This window comes from Homo sapiens, chromosome 18, assembly GCF_000001405.40.
Source record: "Homo sapiens chromosome 18, GRCh38.p14 Primary Assembly".
Taxonomy (NCBI): Eukaryota; Metazoa; Chordata; class Mammalia; order Primates; family Hominidae; genus Homo; species Homo sapiens.
In genome coordinates, this window is record NC_000018.10 from 37,422,771 (window position 1) to 37,445,324 (window position 22,554).

General features: G+C 52.3%; 1 protein-coding gene across 125 annotated transcripts in view, besides 1 other annotated feature; it reads right to left on the bottom strand.

The window, feature by feature from the left end:
- CELF4 (CUGBP Elav-like family member 4) overlaps window positions 1-22,554 on the bottom strand; it is a 322,955-nt gene that overhangs the window by 179,927 nt on the left and 120,474 nt on the right. The window lies entirely within an intron of this gene.
- Window positions 6,887-7,731: an enhancer, noted in NCBI's record as "H3K4me1 hESC enhancer chr18:35009620-35010464 (GRCh37/hg19 assembly coordinates)". NCBI's record gives its function as "activates a minimal SCP1, AML or CMV promoter by ChIP-STARR-seq in primed H9 embryonic stem cells {active_cell/tissue: H9 hESC(primed)}" and the evidence as "EXISTENCE:reporter gene assay evidence [ECO:0000049][PMID:30033119]".

The window sequence follows — 22,554 nt, forward strand, 5'->3', positions numbered from 1 at the left end:
TTTTATGCCAGGGAAGCTGGCCAGAGACTACCCCCACTCCTGATTTCTCAATGAAAAGGCTCTGAAGTCATCCCTCGTCCTATTTCCCCAGCAGAAATGACCCATGAATGCTTCTCGCTTCTGCCATGAGCACAACGCAAAATTTCCCTGTTTTCTTCAGTACAGTGCCCATCCCTCCACCTCATTTCCAAAGCCACTTTCTCTGCTTCTTCATGGGGCTGGGTAGGATATGGGAGCAGCTAGCGGTGCCTAAACATTGTGCAGGTTCTACACATAGACACATGCGCGCGCGCGCACACACACACACACACAGAGACAGAGAGAGAGAGAGAGACAGACAGACAGACAGACAGAGAGAGTCAGAGAGACAGAGAGACTGGCTCATGAGCTCCAGGCAAGTCAATGAAATGCCTAATGCAGTGCTGAGTGTTCCAGGAAGATGGGTTGAGGACAAGGGGCACAGATGCAGGTGTGCCCTGTCCTTGGCTCATCCACGTCCAGGTAGGCTGCCAGGGTCTTTCTCATGAAATAAACAGCACTGGGAGCTTGACCAGGCTCCTCAGGTCTTATGTGGTGCTGACTCCTCGGGGGACTGGCTTTCACATGGAAAGGAGTCCTTGTGGGGCCAGAGTGGGATGGGAAGACTGCCTGGAGGAGGCGGGGTCAAAGGTGGGCTTAGGAGGAGCTCAGAGACATTGTTGGTAAAAGGAGGGGCCTGAGTGAGGCACCCTTGAAGTCATTCTTGGTGGAGAGCAGGGGTGACTGTCCTCTCACTCCTCCCAGGTCCCTGGCCTGGTGTTCTTCTTCCAGGCCCCAGGGCAACCCAGCAATGGCAGGTGGGCGAAGCTATTCTAGTGAGAAGCAAAAACAGTGGAGTTACCAAAATCCTGGTGACAGCCATGGCCTTGGTCTCCTGAGGCCATCACCTCACTCATCCCTAAGCCCTCTAGGAAAGGGGAGGAAGCCTCCCTAGGCTCCCTCTCCTCCTTGCCTCCACTTGAAACCTTCAGGAGAATGGCTTTGGGAGGCTTCAGGGAGATGCACCATAGCTGAGAGGCTCACAGATCTTTGACTGGGGGTTCATCATGCTTTTCCCACCTTCTCGCTCCATAAGGAACAGATTTTTGGCCAGACTGGCTGTACACCATGCCATCTCTTCCTCATCTCTGAGTTTCTTCCTTATCCACCCTTCTAAGTCCTGGGGAGAGGTCTCCGCCACCGAGAAGCCTTCTAGGACTCATGCTGTCTGGCCTTTTGAGACAACTTCCTGCTCCATGCACTTGGAATGATCTATCAGGTTGGTGCAAAAGAAATTGTGTTTTTTGCCGTTGAAAATCATGGCAATTACTTTTGCACGAACCTAATAGCTCCCTTCTCTAATATGTGGTTCCTGCAAGGGCCTGATTTGCTGTTAGCTCCCTTGGCCTAGGAACGAGAGGCTCTTGACTTTATCCCAAGAGGGCTTATCTAACATGCTGGTAGACTTTACCCTGAATGACAAGATCTCTATGCAGGCGTATGGAGCCAAGGAGAGGTGGGCTGTCACGGGAGGCTGGGGGCAGAGGGCAGTCTAGAAGGGATGAAATGGTAGTGGTTTGCCAAGGAGAAAGGGGTGCTAAGGGATTCAGAACAGGTACAGGGCTTGGTGGCAATACCCAGAGAGCAGAAGGAGGAGAAGGAGCTCTGGCCTTCCACCCCGTGTGGCCTTACAGCCTGCCTTGGAGGGTCGTGGCCTAGCTCCAGGACCAAGCACCTCTTCCCTCAGGCACTCTGAGCACCCGATAGCATTTACAAGCAATATTTTGCATGCTGGTAACTGGGTTTGTGCAGTTATGCTGTGGCCTGGGGTAAGACTTCCCAGTTGCTAGCAGCAATGCCTGTGGTCACACAGGATCAGAGGCCGAGGGAGCACCACTGCCCTTCCCTGCAGGTTCCCCAGCTACGTGGTTACCAGTGTTAAGCTCAGCCCAGCTTTGGCTGCCTCCTCCCCCTACCCTTCTCACTCATCCTGTGTTGTGGCTAGATGAGTAGTCCAACCTCCCCATCTAAGCTCCGAAGTCCAGGGGATTGGGCTCCACACACTCCTGACCCTGCCACACTCTTGCTACCTGCCTGCTATTCCTTCCTGTGCTCTTTTAGTCCTAAGCACATCCTCTCTCCTGAATCTGACCCTCAACCTGCACCTGTTCCACTCTCGCCCCACCCGCACAGTGCTCTCTGGCCACTGTGGTCCCCAAGGCAGGTTCTTAGCTCTCTGCCCCTCTCTGGGCATTTGGTCACATCCTATATTGCTGTGGGACCCAATTGTCATTTGTGAATGTGTGACTCCTAGCAGGACTTTGGGATTCTGGAGGACAGAAAAAATCTATTACAACTCTCTGGGTTTCCTGTTCTGCCAGGCCCAGGACTGGGCAACCTGAAGGTGCTCGGCCATGACTGGACAAACGGATCATCTGACCATGATGCTACCGGCCTCGTGTGTGGGCTGATGACAGGATTGTAGTCCTGCAGGTTGAAATAGGGATGCTGTGTACGTGTCCATTAATGTATCTGCTTTGGAACAAAGAAGACAAGGCCCCTCCGGGGCTCTAACCCTTCCCTGTTGAGTCAACCACAGACAGGAAGCCAGCTGCAGGGAGGGTGCCTGAGGGGTCTCTGAGAGGCAGCTGCTGCAGGAAGCCCTCCTGGCTCCCAGATTGCCTCCTAACTGTGGGTTTATTAATGCATGCCAGAATACCTGAGACCCAAAGAATTCATAATCAAATGATTTCTTTAAAAAACATAAAAGAACGAAGGAAAAGGAGAGTGCACTGCCTTTCTATTAAGTCATTCGTAATTACCTCATTAGAGCAGACACTGTGCACTCGTCCACCAGGGAGAAAGCTCATAGAGATTCAAGAAAGAAAAAAGCAGGTTCCTTTGGAGACTTCTAGGGCCAGGAGCCAGCTCCCCTGGCACAGACTTGACCTTTGACATCTGCAGAAACTACAGCTGCTTGGCGAAAGCCCTTGGGCCATGGTCCTTGCCATCTGAAGACACCTTGGAAGATGGACATGTTACCATCAAGGCCTGCCTGATTAGGGGACCTTTGGTCCCCAAGAGAGTTGGTTCTCTGTTAGGTGCTGGGGGTAGCACCTCCATTCCCCAGAGAGGACATCAGCCAGGGAGGGAGAGGCTTCTCTGCCAAGTCTGCCAGGGACAGTGCCTGGAGGGGAAACAGGCTCATTGGTGGTGAGGGACAGTGGCCACTGGGATCAGACCAGGATATAGCCCCAGCCCCAGCCCTTGCCCTGGAATCAATGTAGTCCCAACTCTGGCTATGGGCCTTTCCCCCCAGTAGCACTGGACAGGTTCCACAGGTTCCAGCTGGACCTGCCCCCAAGCACAGGTCCTGGCCATGGGGAGGATGATACGGGGGAAGGGTAAAGTGGACAAAGAACTGGGCAGGGGGAAGAATATCGGGACACTGGTCTTCTGTCTGCCACGGACACTCTAGGTGACTGAGGGTAAGTCATGTCTCCTCTATCAGCCTCAGTTTCCCCTTATGTAAAAAGAGAGCATTGACCTGGGTGCCTGCCTTGCCAGACCCCAGCTTTGGTCCTAGGAGTTGGTGGCTAGGCCACTCTTCCAGTGGCTGGGGAGGGGACACAGACTGTCCTGTGACAGAGCCTTACAGAGAGGCCCAGGGTCACACAGGACCTTGTCAATGACCACCCAGGGGCTGAGCTGTGGGAGAGCCACTGGAGGAAGCCACAAATGGCCCACAAAGCCAATAATAAACCTGCAGAAATTGAGTGGAATGATTGCATTTCCTAAGTGGGGTGGGCGCAGGCGGGGCTGATCGCTTCTGCACCAGCCTCCTTCTTCCTTCCAGGAGTGGGACTGCAGAGGGTGCGGTGCGGGAGGGCTGGGGGCGGGGCAGCCTGCCCAGGCGGCCCTGTTCCCTTAAAAGTCTCATTAGAACACGTGGAAAACAATTTGCCAGGCCATGTTGCGTCGCCGCTGCCATGTGCGGTTTGCTGCACATTAAATTCATTATTTTAACAGGTCAATGCCTCTGACAGATATGCATTTGTGAGAGATGAGCACGGCTGCTTCTTTAATCCCCATGGATTACTTGGCTCTCCCGAAAAGCGATACCAATGACTTGCAGAGACTTTAATCCCAATCACTCCAGACTGTTTACAAGGAGTAAAAAAAAAAAAAAAAAAGATGGTCAAGGGGGCTGAGGCTCAGACTTGGCGGGTGCTGGCAGCAGCAGGGACACGGGGGGGGGGGAAGCTGGGCACCCTGGGTGAAGCCCACCATGGCAGCAGCATAGAGCGCAGTCTGGCGGGAGCCTGAGGAAGAAGGCCCTTGTTCAAATGAAGGCTTCTCCTCTCATCAGCTGGACGTGGGGCTTGCCTCCTCCAACCCAAAGCAGATGTGCAGGATTGCTGGCCTGGGGTAGGAGGTGGAGGGGTTCTGGGGTGGCCTCCTGAACACATTCTTGTTCTTCTGTAAAGTTTTCAATAGCCCAGGCAGGAAATAGCACAGGTGGCTATGGTGGTGAACAACAGGGGCCCCCTCCCAATGGACTCCCATAGGCAAAAACACCCAACTCGCCAAACCCAGCTCTCCCCAGGGCTGCATGGGGGATTTGCTCTGTGGACTGTTCTAGACCTTTTCTGGATCTGTTGATGTCCACAGTTGGGTCCTTTCGGGGAACTGTGGGGGAAGCCAACTTGGGCCTGACTCGAGTGTCCTTTCCGTGGCCTCTGGGGACCCTTACAGCCCTGGCCTGTCCCTCTCTGCAGGCTCCCCAGCCCTGACCCCCAACCTGACCTCATCTCCTCTTGCATGGTTCCCTGCAGGTTCCCCAGCTACATGTGGAGACATCACTCTCTTTGTTTGGCTTTCAAGGGCTTCCCTTCCTGCTCAAGGCCCTGGGTTACTAGCTCCAGCTGCCATCTTTGGGACCTTCCTCGGCCTTGATCACCTCCTCTCAGTGCTGCTGTTCTCTGCACTGAAGGAAGAACAAAGAGGCCTCCAGTCCTGCAGAGTTCTCCACATGGTTGATAGATAGACAGGGGATGGCCTGGCACTGAAGACCTGGGTCTCCCATACAATGTTTTGCTGTCCTCCTGGTCCCCAAATATATGCACAACTGGATTTTACTAGGCCAGACTTCTACTGGAGAAAGTGTCTACGGTGTGTGTATGTGTGCGTGCATGTGCACACCCCGGCATACATGCTTGTGTGCACCTGTTCTATGTGTAGTTTCACCTACCTGCAAGTATGTCTGTCCATGTTCTGGGAGCAGCAGCTACCTGTCCACTGAATGAGTAATTAATTGGTGGGTGGTAAAGCAATTAGCCCTAGAGCTTTCAAAAATAATGAATAAGGGTCCTGTAGATGTCAATATTTGAAAATACTAATTTAAGGCCTATTAGCTGAAGCAAATTTTAATTAAACAGGGAATAATCAGGGTGATGAGAGGAAAGTAAAAGATTTGGCCAGTGGCTGAGTCCTCAGGAATGCATGGAGAGGTGAAGGAGGGGGCGGTGTGGAACTGGAGCTTGAACCTGACCGGCTGACATTTGGGTCATGATCCAGGGCAGGCAGGGGATGAGGGAGGAAGGTGAAGTCACATTCCTGCTCTGGGTCTCTGTAAGGAAGGAGGTGCTAAGCAGAGAGGTTTTTCTATGGGAGTGCATCTTTTGGGGTGTGGCTGTGTTTCCAAGGGCGTCTACAAGGAGTCACTCCACAGTAGCTGCATCAGAACTCACACATCCAAAGGGGCTGCACCTACTCCAGTACAGCTAATGGGACACAAAAGCCTTTGACAGGACTTATGATTTCAGTTTTCCCAAACAGGATCATCGAATTCCCTTTTAGGGAATCTCAGTTATGTACCAACTTTAAATCAGCACTCAGAGGAAGATTTACTGTCAGTAGGGTTGTATGAGGCAGGAAGACCTGAAGGAGACTACTGAAGTAGGGCCCCCATGTGTTCTGAGCAGCAGCCGCCCTGCAGGAGGAAGTGTGCCTGATCCCTCCAGCCCACACCCCGCACTCCCTAGTGGCTGAGAACAGGCCTTCTTTATTTCTGTATCTCTTCCACAAACATCATTTTGACATCCAGAGGGCACACAGCAAGTGCTTGCTGAACCCAGTGACCCTTCGAGGGCATGGACTGTGTCTTATTCACCTGGGCACCCAGGATCTAGAGTGGTGGTTCCCAATAATGTTTGCAGGGGCCTGAGCAATTGCATCGTAGAGGAGGCATGGATGCCCCTTGTCTCTGCTGCCGTATCTTGGTGAGGGAGTCGTGCTTCCTGCCATGGTAAGGAATATCGGAACACTGGGTGCTTGCTTACTTTATAACAGGGGCTGGGGCCATCGCTGGCTACGTGGGAGGTGTTCCTCTGAGTACTTGTTCTGAAATGTAGTTCTCTACCTTGACTCCTGACAACCTACCTTCTCTGGTTACAAGGACCCTCTATGGGTGTGGCCAGGAGAGAAGAGCCTGAAAGCTGGGAAGGTGCATGTGTAAGTCTGTGTGTGTGTGTGTTGGGGAGCATGTGTATGTGCCTCTGTGTGTGCTCTGTATGTCTGTGTGCATTTTATCTGCCTCTTTGTGTTTGCTGGTGTGTCTGTGTCTGTGTGTGTCTATAGTCTCATTGTGTGTGCATGTCTGTGAGTGTGTATGTGTGCCTATGTGTGCCAGCGTCTTTGAATACCTGTGTGTTTGCATACATTCTGTGTATGTTTGGGTGTGTCTGTTTCATGCAGCATCTGCTGCATGTCTATGTCAGAGGTCTTGGAGTTTCCAAGTGGGTAGTGCTACCTCATGCAGGGACTGCTTCTTCCCTGGGCCTCAGCTCTAGCAGACACAGGCAAGAACTTCAGCACACACCACTGCCTCTTTGTTTGGTTATTTATTTATAACCCACTCCATTTAAAAAATGAATTGAGTGGAGATCTTGATGAGGCTAGGGCTTCCGTTTGGCCTTGCGCAGGGGCTCTCCTCTACAGCCTATTGAGGAAAATAGAACAACCTCATCATCTCTTCTTAGGACTGATCCCTACGGAAGACCCCACACTTGGGCCTCATCCTGCCCTGCCTGACTCCTGTGTCAGGCACACACCTGCACTTCCTGCCTCCCACTTAGCTGCTCCAATCCCTGCTCAGCTCCAATCTGTCTCCTGACTCTGAAGCAGGAAGTCCAGGCCAGCTAGTTCCTCCTACTGGCCACGCCCTTTGTCTCAGGCACCTCCTCCTTCAGCATCTTTCCCTAGGAACAGTGCGGCTCTCACTGCCCACTTCTCTCTTGGCCACCCCTCTTGGGGGAGGTAGACCTTGGCTCTGTACCCTGCCATCCGCCACCCCACCTCAGCCTGAGCTGACTTTGTGGGCAGGAACCACACAGCCTCCTGCCCAGTCCCATGCCTCCCACCTTTGCAGCTGAGCACGGACTGGGGACCCCATCCACTCAGTCAATGCTGGTGGAATTGCAAGTTGCATAATAACCTGGGGCCCCTTGGAAACTTTTCATCTCAACACGAAGACTGATTAAATAGCAACAAAAATAAATTATGTATACACAGAGTTGTAAAAGCACCCAGAGACTGGAGACTTGGGGTCTGTGCCTCATATAAATGCAAATACTGTAATAGCATTGCAGTGGGCCCTCCACCCCCACTCCACACAAACCTCGGGGCAGGGAGGGTGAAGCCAGCAAGGATGGTGTGTAGCGCAGTAACAGGCTAGAGCCTGCTGGGGCTTTAAACAAAACCTAAAGCCAGGCACAAGCCCAACCCAGCACAGAAACGACCAGATAACTGAGGTTTAGGGCCTGGTTTTTGCAAATGACAGGCTGCAGAAGCAGTGTGTGCATCTAGCTTCCTCTGAGCAGAATGGGGGGAGCACTGAGCAGGGCACCCCTAAGTTGCTGTCAGATGCCTCCTCCTGGCTCGGGCCCCCTGGTAGCTAAGGAAGTGGCCTGTCAGGCCCCCTCTAGTTGTGTCTCCCAGGGCTGAGCAAAGTGCACTCCCACCCCAGGGGAAGTGCTTGCTCCTTCTCCTTACCCCATGGGGATCTGGCACATTAGCAGGTCTCACTTGGTCTGGAGGTGGCGCTGGTGCTTTTTATAGCTGTAGGTGTCTCTGGGTAAGGCCGCCTCCCCCACACTCCCATCCATTGCCTGCTTCTTCCCTCCCACAACCCTGGTCTGGGGAACTTGGCCTTAGGCCTGGCTGCTGGGTTAGGCTTGGGTCCTGGGGCAAGTATAGGGAGGAAAGGACTCTAGGTGCTGCTGTGGTTGGGTGTTGTGGGTGAGCCAGAGGTGAGGATGGGCCGCTGAGCCCTCCTTGCTCTCCTCTGTCTGGGGACAGCTCTGTTGCTTGACTGTGCCATCTAGTTCACTCCCTGGCGTACAGTAGGTGCCTAATTAAAACTGACCAACTGACTGATTAAAAAGTCATTATGCCGAAAACAATTGCTTCTTTTCCTGGAGGTCTTATCATCTCATCTTCTTTTCCTGGTGGGCTTATCATCTCCTCATTTTTGTGTTCTTTTGCTATTACACAGCCACTTTCTCCTTTCTTTCCTTTTTTTTTTTTTTTTTTTTTTTGAGATGGAGTCTTGTTCTGTCGCCCAGGCTGGAGCGCAGTGGTGCAATCTCAGCTCACTGCAAGCTCCGCCTCCCAGGTTCATGCCATTCTCCTGCCTCAGCCTCCTGAGTAGCTGGGACTACAGGCGCCCGCCACCACGCCCAGCTAATTATTTTTATATTTTTAGTAGAGACGGGGTTTCACCATGTTAGCCGGGATGGTCTTGATCTCCTGACCTCGTGATCTGCCCGCCTCGGCCTCCCAAAGTGCTGGGATTACAGGCGTGAGCCACTGCACCTGGCCCTTTCTCTCCTTCTAAGTTATGTGAAAACTCAATAAGCCACAGTCACCATATTAAAATTAAATTGTTAAACTTCCCTGGCAGTTGAGCACAGGACTTTAGGTTTTTCAAAATGTCACTGTATTAACTCTCATCTCATCCTCCAAATGCATCTGCAAGGCCGTCTGGGCAGGTACCAGCATGCCCAATCTACAGATAAGGAAACTGAGGTCCCAGGAGGCAGCTTGTCTATGCCCACATAATTAAGCCCCTGAGTCCTTGGCTTTCGTTCTGTGGAAAAGCTGTAAAAGCGTGAAATAGGTCCCCCCACCTTGAACACTTAATTTTCCACTGATTGCAAGGAGTGTGAGGCATGAAAGATGCCTGTCTATTGCTGTCTCTGGGCCTGAGCTGGGAGGCTGTGAGGCTGGGAGCCCTGGCAGCCTAGCTTTGGGTCCCACCTGGTCCTCTCTTTGGATTCACTCCTGCTGGGTCCTTAGCCTCCAGATCAAACACACTGGCTGAGAAGCAGCCAGCACTGATGGCCTCTGCCCCTCAGGTGGATCCCACCTTCTCTTCTGTGCAGCAGAAGGGGTGCTGTTGTGAGGGCCACCCGCCAATGTGGGGGCACAGGCTCCAGAGGCCCGGAGACTGGTTTCCATCTGAGGAGGCCCCCAACTCCCAGCACATCCCACCTGGGCCCAGAGGGGGAGCTTGGAGGTGGGATGGGAAAGAGGACATTTGTTCTACTGATTTATTTGAAAAGACCAAATTAGAGAAATAAGAGAACAACAGATAGGAGAAATCATGGTAGGCACACTATCCTTCAACTTTATAAACAACAAAGACAATGAACGCTGCACCCGGACCAAGCAAAGCAAATCCTGGGGGCAGAGAGATTGGGGAGAGCTGTAAGATGCCAAGCAAAGATGTTTGAAATGAAAGATGCGCAGGAGAATACAACATATTCTCACTCATGTGGTTTGGCAAAAATGTCTGCAAGGACCTCATCATGTGACCATCTCATAGCTGAGAACAGAGAAGCTGCTTCCTGTTTCAGGGCTAGTGGCATTATTCAAGGCAGGGACCTGGAGAGGCCAGCACTGCTGCCCTGGAGACCTGGCCAGTGCCTCACATTTACTGTTTTCTACCCTCCTCAACATTCTCCTCTTTCAGGAAGCCTTCTTGGATTGAGCTCCTACCTTGAATAACTTTCTTACTATGCTCTCTCAGCTCCTTCATCCTCTTTCTATTTCATGCTCTTTTGATTTGCTCCTGGTCAGAAGTGAGCTTGCAGTACCAGCAGGCTTCTAATGCCTGTCTCCTGTCCCAATCCACGGTATGCGCAACACAGGAATCTTATTGCCACACACACCTATCTCCAACATGATACAAAACCAATGAGTGGATTGAACGCCTGTGGGAGGTGAGCAGTGAGGGAAAGTGTGGCTAGGATGTGCCCATGAGTGGGGTGCTGCCCCGTTCACCTCTCTTAAGTTCAGTGCCTCCTACAATGGCCCCCTCTTCCCCAAGAAGTGACTGTGTCCCTAGGAACGTGAGAGCCAGAAAGCACTTATGGGATCATTTGGGCCCACCCCTTTTTTTGCACAGATAAAGTGACTATGGGCCTGCCTAGGGAAGGAGCTGTTTCAGACCTCTCCATGGTTAAAGGTGGCCTGGGGACACTGCAGCCTGATGTCCCATGCCCTGCTCTTGCCAATACAATGCAGCAGTTGATGTCTTCTCTGTGGGGTCATCATTCTTTTATTGTACATTTTTCTGGCCCCCAACTACACTGAATGTTGCTTGAGGACAAGGATTTTATCTCTGCCTCTCTGTGCCCCTACGGTGTTCAGCACAGCACAGAGCACACGGTAGGCAAATGATGGTGCTATTAACATGAGAACCATTTTCGTTTGAGCTTTTGTTTTTGGGAGTTATCTCAAAGTGCCAGGTCGGGGCCACGATTGTCCTTGTCTTGGAGCATCTTGTCACTGGCCAAGCATGGAATGGGGTCACCTGGCAAGTGAGGAGCTCCCTGTGGGGAGGAGTATGTAAGCAGACGGGGAGAAGGTTCTGAGAGTGAGTCTGAGGATGGACCACCTCTTAGGTGGTCTCTAAGTCTTCACGATTCTGTCACTTGGAGAATGAAAGGAGACGCAGGGAGGTAGACTGGGTGGCAGTGTCTGGAGCCTGGGAAGATGGCTTGCCTTGTGGCAACCAGTCTTTGAGACTGGCTAGCTCCCTAGACCTCAAAATCCCTACAAGAGGCAGAGTTTGGAAGTGTTTATTTTTATTTATTTAGTTATTCTTCCCACACCCAGGCCTGTGTGGCAGAAGTTTTTAAACAGAGAAATCTTAGTTGAGTGCTCCCTACACCTAAGGCCCTACAGGCATCTGGGTGCCAAGGGCCGGACTAACAGGGCTTGGTATCTGACGCTGGTGAGCTGATCGCTTTGTTGGGGAGACGGGAAGCTGCACATAAACTCTGAAACAGAAACCATAAAAAGTAAATTAATACTCCAAGAGTTAACTAATAGTTCAGAATAAAAAGAGAAGCAATGTTTCAAGGCCCTACACGATTAGCTGCCCAATGAGGAGTACAGACAATGAGGGTTTGGGTTACTCTGAGGAGAAAGCACCCACCTCAGGCTGCTGGGCTCATGGAAAGCCCCGGAGGCTGGTTTCTGGCATTTTTGGTCTATTAACTGCTGTTGTGACCACTGAAATTTGACTTCCAAGGACCGGAAGCCCAGAGCTAATTCTGCGGCTTGTTGGTCAGGGGCTGGTACCAGTCACCTTCATGGGGCAAAAGCGCTTCAGTGGCCCCTGTCTAAAACAGGGGGCTGTGCCATCATTTCCCCTGCCCAACCTCCTCTGGGAGTGAGGTGCAGCCACCTTATTACACCAGCGAAGAGCAGCGAGGAGATGGAAGAGAGCCGGGGGTTTGCTGTGCCACCCCTCCCTGGTGGGGTGAATGAGCAGCTGCACCAGGAACCAGGGCCTTTCGGGTTGCATGGGGATTGGCCTTACAGCAGCCACTCTGTTGATGTCAGGAGGCCACAGATGCGATCAGTAAATACCTAGGGCAGCCTGCCTGTCCCACGGCCCTTTCAGTGTAGGGAGTAGGGAGGAGAATCTGGTCTCCTCGCCAACTCCCCAAGTCCTCCCAGTGTTTGATTTGCGATGTTGCTCCTAAGTACACCCTCAAACACCTTCCTCCTGCACCCCCTCCTTTTCCCAGTTGAAGCCCTGAGCAGGGAAAATGGGCATCTTGTCTTCCCTATTGCAGGGGGAAATTCAGATCTTTTGACTACCCCCTCCAAAACTCTTGGGGGAGAAAAATGGCAAGTCCACAGGAGGGGGGGATCCAGGGGATGTAGGGAGGTCACCTGCCCACTCTAGTAACTGTTCTCTTCCAGCCCCTGTCTGGGCTTCCCTGGGTTCCCCTTTGGGGGTAGAGAACCCAGGGAAAGGTGATCCTTGCCACATCCCACTTCCTAGGACTCACTACTCTGACCTGACTGTGAACAAACCCCGTTTTTTAGCTCAGCTGAGACAGGTGGAATTTTTCCAGTTCTACTTTCTCTGTGAGCATCTAGAAGCCACAAAGATTACATATCTTGCAGGAGGCCCAGGGCTTGTTTGGCTGACCTGTGACCAGCCTGCAGCCCATTCCCCAGCCTGTCTGGTGTCCATGTGCACATGTGTGTGTGTGCACGTGTGTCTTGGGTGTGTCTGACATGTTGCTGCCCTGCTGTCAATGGTTCTAGTCTGGGTCTGGGGTGGGGCTGCCCCTTTTGGCTCCTAGCACCTCTCTTCAGGCTTCAGCTCTCTTGACCACTGAGTTTCTCTCTCTTGCTTAGGGTCTCTGATCCCCAGTTTTCTTTGCAGAGCAGACTGAGACAACTGCCAGGTTTTGAACTTAACAAATGATCAAGCTCTTCTCAGCTCAGGATCTCAGCAACACCCACTTCCCTGGATTCTCTGCAATGATTCATCACTCAGGTGCCTTCTTCCTGCCCCCACCTCATCACGTCCCAACAAGGCACTGGCTCCCAGGCGACTCTCAGCAGGGGAGGCTGCACCCTGTCAGTTCAGCCTCAGTTGACACCCCAGTCCTCAGCACTGTAGCCCACCCTAGCGTGTCTTCCAGAGAGGGTCAGAGCCCTGTAGGATGCCACATCCCCAGGCAGAGCCTGGCAAGACCCCAGACCTTGAGAGAGCCTATAGGGAGGAGAAGAGGTGAACTAGTGGATATGAGGAATAAACCCAGGACAGAGTGGTGTCTCCCTAGGGTTACAGATTGGAGCAGGTGGTGGGCACTCCAGGACCCCCGCTGCAGGGCCCGCACCTCTCTGCTCACCTCTCTAGGGAGGGGTGAGCTGGAGGCAGCAGGAATGACTTCACATTTTTGTTGCTGTAGCTGCTGGGCTGAAAATAGTCCTTTCTCGGGCAGGCTGGCTCAGGGTGTGAAAAGCTCCGTTCCCAGGGAGCGGCAGGAACCAGCCAGGGAGAAAAATTAACCACAGGCCTGGCGCTGGCTCGCTTAAGAGAAGAGCGTGGCTCAACTCTCCAGCACTGTATACCGATACGTTTGTTTAAGACGGTAACCACGAACTCGGGAGCAGTTCGAGATGCCCTCAAATGCTCCCTCATTCAGACAGCATCTGCAGGCACACCGGTTACCATTTCCTGAGGGCTTCCTGCCCGGGGTGCTGTGCTAAAAGCTCCTCGCCTTGCAGTGTCTTATCCTCTAGAGACCCTGGACAGAGCTGGTATCATATTCATTACACAGATGTGGAAACTGAGGCTGGGGTAAATCAAGCAGGCTGCCTAGGGTCACACAGCAAGAAGCTGCAGAGGGGGGATCAAGAGCCAGGGCTGACCTCTGCCCTCTGGGGGAGTTTCTGTTATTCCTGTTTGCTTAGGGGGACAGGTGGCCCCAGCACTTCCCTGGCAAGCAGCTCAGGCTATACAGAGGCTTTGGTTCTTCACTTCCTAGGCTGCCTGCTCAGGAGAACACACAATTCAGAAACTGTTCCTGCAGCCCTTTGAAGGGATGGTCAGAAATAGAGGCGCCTTCTCCCCATGTTGGAGGGAATGGCTGGGGCTAGAGGGAAGTCGGGGCACTTCTGTACCTCTGCCCAGGAGCCCCAGAATCTAAACTCCCACATCAGTGTGATCACAGGGAGCTTGTCTATTCCCAGCACAATTCCCAACCTTCATTTCCACCCAAAAGTACACCAGATAATTAAGTCTCTCTCAGGCCTCCTCAATATAATGCAGATTAATTTATTATTTAAATCTGAGTAGAATATTAGCTCATTGTCTTAATAGTTCTGATAATGGGGGGAGCACAGGATAGAAATCCTCTCACTCACCCCCTCCCCAGCCAGAATGGAAAGACCCCAGGGGCTTGTCAGGCAGCTGGCAGAGTGGCTGCATGCAGCATAGCTGGGGGCCAGGCTCCCCAGTGGGTGGCAGGTGGCTACAAGTGTGTACCTCCAAATTGACTCTCAATGCAGGCCCCACCTTGAGCTCTGCCTGCCCCACCCCATGCCCAAGAAAGAAAGAAGAATGAGAAGGCAGGAGAAGCAGGAACCAGAAGCAATTTCCCAAGCTGGAGGCTGCTGGGAGACCCCTCCTCCTGGTTGATGGGGACTGGGTGAGGATGGGCAAGCACACTGGTGCCAAGGTCCTAGTGTCAGGGGCCCTGCACTCTGAGAGCCGGGAAGCCTTTCAGCATTGCAGTCTTCCCTTCTCAGAAATGGTTCTGGGGATATAGATATCTTCACCAAACGATCCAGAGAGCACTTTTGGTGGGGTTGGTTGTGGGGGAGATACTATGGAAACTGGGGGAATGGGGGCATAAATGGTCTTGGCTTGGCCAGCACTCTGCTTCCCCACTCCCACCCATCTTGTGTCCTGGAGGACCAAGGTAAGGCATTAGAGTGGCTGCCGTCTCTTCCTGTGATGCACACTTCTTCCCCATAAAGGATCTCTGGCGAGGACACATCCAGGCAGGTGGGCAGAGGAGTTGTCCTGGCTGCCTCTATTTCCCAGTAGAGTTGTCTTCTCAGCCTCCTGATCTCCACAGCCAGAGACAGAGATAATGAGAACTTTAACAGTCAGAATACACATCAGCACTGGGAGCTGTGGACCTTCCAGCTAAGTGCCTCTGTTAAGGACTTGACGTTTGTGTCCCCCTGCCACCCAAATTCTTATGTTGAAACCTGTATTGGGAGGTGGGGCCTTTGGGAGATTAATTAGGTGTAGATGAGGTCAGGAAGGTGAGGCCCTCATGATGAGATTAGTTAGTGTCCTTAACAGAATAGAAAGAGACCAGAGCTCAGTCTCCCTCCAACATGAAAGGACATAGCAAGAAGGCGGCTGTCTGCAAGCCCAGAAAAGAGCCCTCACCAGACACTGAATCTGCTAGCACCTTGATTTTGGACTTCCCAGCCCCCAGAACTGTGAGAAATAATTGTCTTGTTTGTATGCCCCTCAGTCTGTGGTTTTTGGTATGGCAGCCCAAGTTGCCTAAGACAACCTCACTATGCTGATGTGGAGACTGAAGCCTGAAAGGTCAAGTGATTGACTGTCAGTGAAGAGTGGGTTGGTTCCAGACTAAATGATGTGACTGGTGTTCCAGATGTCAGTGTTACCCCTTGAAATGGACCGAGTATCCATGGTGGGGCAAGGGGCTTGGCAAGGCAGGATGAAGGTATGTAGAAGACTGGGATGTGATCCTGTGCCCAGGATGCTGACAGAGTAGATAGAGTAGATACAGTTTAAGCAGCTGTCCTGACAGATGAGGACACTGAGACCCAGGGTTGGTAGCAGGAGGGGCTGGCACCCTACCTCTCAATGTCGTGCACCCTACCATGTTTGAAGCTTCCCTGGCTGCATCCTAACTTTGGAATAGTGGTTCAGGGTCATGTTTACCCTGGTGCCTTCCAGGTCTGGAGTGGTGCAGGAGCCGTTGGCACAGAAGGTACTGAATCCAGCCAGAAAAAATATACGGGACACATCGTGTGGCTGTGGTTTCTTCACACCATCCAGTCATACAGCTGGCAATTAATTTCCCCTATAAATGAAACACCTTTCATATCACTTTATCTAGAGAGCTTGAATTGACAGCCGCGGGTGTAATTTATACATACTTTTTACCCATCTGTTAGCATTCAGGCTTCAGGCTGCTTGCATTTTTTTTTCTTCAATTCTCTCCCCAAATTGAAAGGATTAGGTTAGGATTAGGTAAGTGTTTTAACCAGATATTCAGAAAGATGGATGGCAATATTTCCAGATGGCTAATGCCCAGGGGAGGCCTCACACAATGGTGGCCAGGTGGGGCTCAGTGATCTGGGAAATTGCCTCCACCTGAGAGCCCAGCAGCCTCCTCAGTCCTGATGCTGGAACTGCAGAGGGCCCCAGGGACTCTCCAGGCCCGCCCCTTCATTTTACAGATGAGAAAACTGAGGCCCAGAGAAGCAAAGGGACTCTCACTAGGTTTTGCAGCTGGCCAGAGGCAGGCCTGGCTGCAGTTAGTACTGGAGTGAGGGTAGCTCTGCTTTACCCTGAGAGGGGCAGGCGGTGGGTTTGGGAGGCATGGATACAATCTGGAAGTACTTGGATGGCCATGGGACAGTTTCTCTTGTCCCTCAGTGTCCATGAAAGTGGGGTTTACATAAATTGAAAGTACAACCAAATTAGGTCAATTTCTGGAGGGCTTTTTTCTGATCATGTGTGTGCATGTATGCATGCATGCATGTGTGTGTGTGCATGTGTGCGTCTGAAATACTGAGGAGCTCATGAGGGTTGTGCCACACCCCTGGACATCCACAGCCCTGCTATCAGTGTCCAAATGACCTTATTTCCTCTGACACTGTGTGCCTTCTTCTCCTAAGAAGTCTTGTCTTCCTGACCACTCCAAGGACCTTGGGGGCTAGGACCATGTTGGAGCCCTTGGGGACCTCCACAACTTGGCCTAGTCACTCTTCTCTGGGAAGCTCTCCCCCACCAGCTCTCCTGTCCCCCCATATCCCTGGAGCTCCCAGGTAGGAACCAATTGAGTCCCCTCAGGCCGGTGTGGGAGGCAGGGCTCAGTTTGTGTGGCTGGACAGCATCATATCATCTCTGGCTTAGGGTGGGCAGGGGCTAGTGTATGCCTGTCTTGCATTTCTTTGGGGAAACATTTGTCCCCAAGACATTTATATGTGTATTAAATGATGACTGATGTGTAGTACAGCCCTGCCTTAGGCTCCTAGGAGGTAGACATGAACACTACAGGGTCCTGTCCTCAGAGGTCACACAATGACTTCTGGTCCTGGGGATGGCCCACCTCTGCCACTCAAGGCCACAGCAAGGTGCTGATGGCTCCTGCTTCCTTCATCACCTCCCTCTTGCCCAGGCTCAGCCTTGGAGCCATTAGCCATGTGACTCTGTCTGGTTAGAATGAGTAAAGCAGTTTTGTATTAATGCAGGGACCTGGGGAGATTTGGCCATTAAATGTTACATTAGACCCAAGGTGTCCTGTACACGCTCCCGGTGGAGTTTTTCAGGCAGCCTTGGCTGGGGGGCCTCGGTGAGGGGGAACGTGCTGGAACTAACAACCAGGTGGGGAGGAGGGGAGGCTGGGCTGCGCTCTCCTCCTGGAGCTCCGAGGACATCCTAGAGAACTGAGGAGGAAGGGCAGGCACGTCCTTGCTCCCATTCAGCCCCACCAGGCCTTGCTGGCCATGGCTGGGTGCCCAGTTTGTCTCAGGCCCAGTGTGAAGCATCCAGGCTCAGCCCGCTGTCCCAGGGCAGCCCTGATTTCACTTCTTCTACCATCTGAGGAGCATTTCCTCCATGTCAGACCAGATGTCCTCAGCTTCAGCTCCAAAAATACAGCCACAGGAGGGAAGGGAGGCACAGAGGAGAAGTGGTGTCTCCTTCCTTGGAGGAGGTGGGGCCCACAGGGAATAATTAATAAATGGCACCGGTTCAATTTAAAATACAACTAACTGTATCCTGTGGGGCAGGTGATTATTGCAATGAGTGGCCTGGAGGGGAGAGCGAGGATATTGGCTGCAGTCATCTAGTCTTTCTGTCAACCTATTTACCCCTTGCAATCACCTACTCATCCACCTATCTACCTACCTAACTACCCATCTGTCTAACTAGCCATTCCCCTGCTTATCCTCCAAGGACCTTGGACAAACTACAGACCCTCTGGGCCTTGGTTTCCCTGTTGCAAATGGAGATAACAATTCTCCCCTGATCTCCTGAGCTTGTTTAAAGGATTGGATGGACTTAAAGATGATCCGTAAAGTGGTGCAAGGAATGTGAATATTAGATAGTGGATGCATTATTTTTGTTGTCAACGTTACTACCACCACAACCGTATCTGCCGCTGCTGATACCTAGACCGTTCTTGCCTTGAGATCATTTTCAGACTGTCTCTCCCCGCTGGACCAGTGACTCTGGACATCCACTGAAGGAAGGCTTGGGATTTGTTTTTAAAGATCTCCCAGCCACGGAGGGTGGGGCAGATCCTGAAGGAAGCTCCAGCCAGCCAGCTCCCTGTCTGCTTTCCAGATGCCAGGGAGCTGGCTCCTCCCTACCTCCCAGAACTCAACAATGCTGTGTGTGTGTGTGTGTGTGTGTGTGTGTGTGTGTGTACACACACGGGGGAGATGGGAACTGGGGAGCAGGCCTGTGGGGGCTGTAAGTGCATTAGTGGCTGGGATGGTTGCTGGGAGACGGCAGACAGATGCCGGATATGTTTGTATTTTCCAATGTTAAGGCCTCAGAACCAGAAAAAACAAACCAGGAGTTTCAAAATGAGGAGGCTAATTGTTCGGATGGGAAGATATTATTTACAGTAATGGGGCAATTAGGTAGGAGGGGTAGAAAGAGTCAGGGTGGTTTGGCTGCGGCAGCCTAGTCCAGCCCCCATGGGGACGAGGTGGCAGCCAGGGACTATTATCTTGAGTCAGACCATCTGCTTTGTGGTCACCCTCTATCTTGCAAGATCACCCTCTTTTGGGGAAGGTGCATATTAAACAGAAGGGGACACCTATCCACCCAGGGTTTCAGGAGTGGCAGCCAGCTTGCCTCCCCACTCACCACTAGGCTTGTGGCCTGGGGAGCATTCTATTCTTGAAGGCCCAGTGCAGTCCTCCTCCCTCAGGAAGTCCTCCTGACGACTGCAACTCACACCCATTCCCCCTCCTCAGAACTCCCCTGAATCTCCACACCTGAACTGCAAAGACCCTAGATGACACGGTGCGTCACCGAAACCGCAAAGACCCTAGATGACACCGTGCGTCACCCAAACCGCAAAGAACCTAGATGACACAGTGCGTCACCCAAACCGCAAAGACCCTAGATGACACGGTGTGTCACCCTTTACCTGGGGCATTTCCTTTATTGGGTGCCCCACTGGCTCCTGCTGGCACAAAGCTGGGCCTGGCCAGACTTGTGGACAAAGGATGAATTACCCAGGGGCTTTGGGAGGGTGAATGGAGGAGGAGAAGAAAGGGATAAAAATCAGCAGCAGCAGCTCAATGGAAGGAACAAATTAAAAAAATGACGAACATGGCTTCTGTAGGGACCCATGCCTCCAGGCCCACATTCATCCACCTGCTTGCCAAGTCGTGACATAAAGAAATAAAGATGGAAGTTGAGAATCCACACTCAATACGCACCAAACTCTTAGATCTCAGATTGATTCTCACTAGTCATTTGAGAATACTTAAAAACTAGATCTCAGAAAAAAAATTTTTTTCCCTTTGAAGCAGAAATGGCCCATTTGCAAATTAATGGCTGGGTGGGCCAAGATACCCTCTAGAAAGGGAGAAGGGATGGCTGTCAATAGCTGAGGAAGGGAAGGTGGCTGGGGTGAGGGTCATCACAGTGCATGCTACTGCTGAAGGGGGCTTGGCCCAAACAGCACAGCGAGCCCATGGGAAGTCCACATGGCGACTCCCGGGAAGGTTGCTTTCAGTCCACCGGGCACATTTCCAATACAAGGAAACAGATTGTGCTGTGCCTCGTCTCTGGACAGTTGCTAAGAAGAGGCTCGGCCGCTGGTAGCACAGTCTGCAAGAAGGGCTGTGGAACCCTGAGCCACCTGTATGGGAATGAACAAGACGTCTTACGGAGGCGCCTTGCAATTGTAGAATTCTCTAAGGAACATCTGGGCAGGGCTCCATAATCTCCCCCTCTCCGTCCTGTTAAGCTCTCCTTCCTTTTCTTACACAGTACCTGCTACCAACCACACTGCCTTCTGGGTTAGTTTGCACCTATCTTCCTAGTCTTGTCTGCACCCTTACTTCCCACTACCTTTTGCTTTCAAAATTCTACCCATCCCTAAGCCTCCCCTGACTTCTGCACGTGTGGCCAAACAAGGGGCAACTTGTTTCCAGTGCGTAGCTTTTGTCTTCCCAAATGGGAGCTCCTGGAGGGTGAGAACCTGACGGGAGTGGGGATGGGATTGGGAAGGGGACGTGTCTTCTGTGGATTAGAGCTAAACCCTAGAGCCTCACAGGGGGCAACGCCCTAGCCTGTCTCTGTCCCTCCGCCTCCTGAGACTTATTTCTTCTCCTTCCTTTGCTTATAAAAGTGGAAAAGTAGAAAAGACCTGGACCATCATTCTGCTTGTTAAAAATAAACACAAGAGGCAGGCTCTGGGTTAGATAAACAGGGGAGTGGGGGGAGGGTCTCCCAACTGCACCATCTGCCCTGTGCTACCCCATACTGATTCTAGCACACTCCCTCTGCATAAAGGCCCTGGGCTGGCAGGAGAGGAGGCCCATGGCCTGCTGCAAGGTTTGAGAGAGCTCCCCACCACCGAAGTGTGTGCATGTGCCGAAGTGTTTTGGCAGAGGGGCTTCAGCCAGCGTTTCTCAAAGCAGGACAATGACATCATCAGTGTGGGTGGAGGCTTTCATCCCTGAATGGCTGGAGAGTGGCTCCAAGGCTCCCCTGGAAGGCCTCAGGAAGAGGGTCCAGGCTTCCCTGCCCACATCTTCATTGGTATGAAAGGGTGGGGAGCAGACCCTGATTCCTCGGCTCCCTCTCCCTCTCCCTCTCTGTGTCGGGGCTGGGGGTGGTCACTGACATGGAATCCTGAGCCTCCTTCTGTGTTCACAAGCTCAATCCCTTTTGCGCATAATTCATCCGCCCTCCATTCGCCAGATATTTACTGCTCACTCTGCCCAGCGAGATGTCAATTCAACAAATATTCAGTGTGCATATTCTGAGTGTCAAGCTCTAAAATAGATGCTAAAAATTTAGAGGTTTCTGCAACTGAATATGGGCCTGACGTGTATCTGTGAGATTCTCCTCACGCTCTATAATCCTTGGCCTTGAATCTCAGCACTGCTACGTACTGGCTGTGTGACCTGGGGCCAGTTACTAACTTCTCCCTGCCTCAATGTTCTCATCTGTAATTGGGGTTGCTGTGCTGATTAAATGAGTTAACATATGCAAAATGCTCGATCAGAACCTACTATACTGATGTCCCAAGTTCCTACTATGTGTGAGACCCTGACCCTGAGCCCATTCTCTTGACCCCAGGGTGCTTACCCTGCATTTGGTATCCAGGCACCTGTATAGACCCCCTGTGTGGGTAGGGGTGGATCCCCCCTAGCATCCCCGTCCTGGACTGCAGCTCAGGAGTCCAGAGCCCGAGATAGGTCTGGAGACACTGTAGGCAGCCGGGCAGGAGCTGTGTCTGGACGCTTTGACGAACTCCCTGAGAGAGGCAACCGTGGGAGGAGGCAGCGGGCATCATCTGTGAGTCCTTCGGGGGTGCTGGACTCCATTTATGGTGAGGTCACTTATGAATATTAAATTCTTTGCTCCAGGCTCCAAAGATTCCCACTGCCCTGCTCTACCCAAAAGCCAAGGTTACAGCCGTAATAAACAAAGCTGCCCTTCTCCAAGAGAAACATGCTCTCTCTCTCTCTCTCTAGCATGCATACACACACACACACACACACACACACACACACACACGCGAACGATGCAGTTTCAGAGGAGGAAGGAGGGAGGTGGGGAGGTGCAGGGGTGGGCTAGTTCCTGGGTATGGGGTGTTTCTCTGCACTGTCCATGGCCCCGACAGGCTCAGGAGGGGCCCTCCAGACGAGGCTCCCCATTCCCTTCTGCCTCCCCGTACCTCCCTCCCGGAGTAAGATTCTGAGAGACACTAGGTATGGTCACCAAAAGAACTTGAGTTGACTCTCAGAAAATAAAGGGAGTTTCCAGGAGAGGGTGCTGTTGGAACATCCTGTGTGCGTGACGCGGGCTCCTGGGCTTGCGGCCTGCAGAAGGGCACACACAGCCTGCCAGCTTCAGGTGCAGACAGAGGCTGGGTGGGGCTGCTCGGAAAGGAGGAGGGGGCATGTAACTGTAACTTTGGTGCACTTTTTAAAGACATAGCCTGAGGGCAGGACCCAGGAACCTACCTTTTAACCAGCACCTCTAGTTCTGGCTGATTTAGGTGGCCTGGTGCTGAGGACAGGCTGAGAAAGGCTGGCGAGAGACTAGGATCCTACATCCTCCCCTCCCCACCACACTTCAGAGACCCTGGGCTGCAGAAGCGGGAGCAGAGGGGCCAGTCTGAGCCCTTTGCTGGACATCCTGCCCCAGAGAGCGCGGCCAGGGTCTTGTTTCTCTATTCTCCCCCA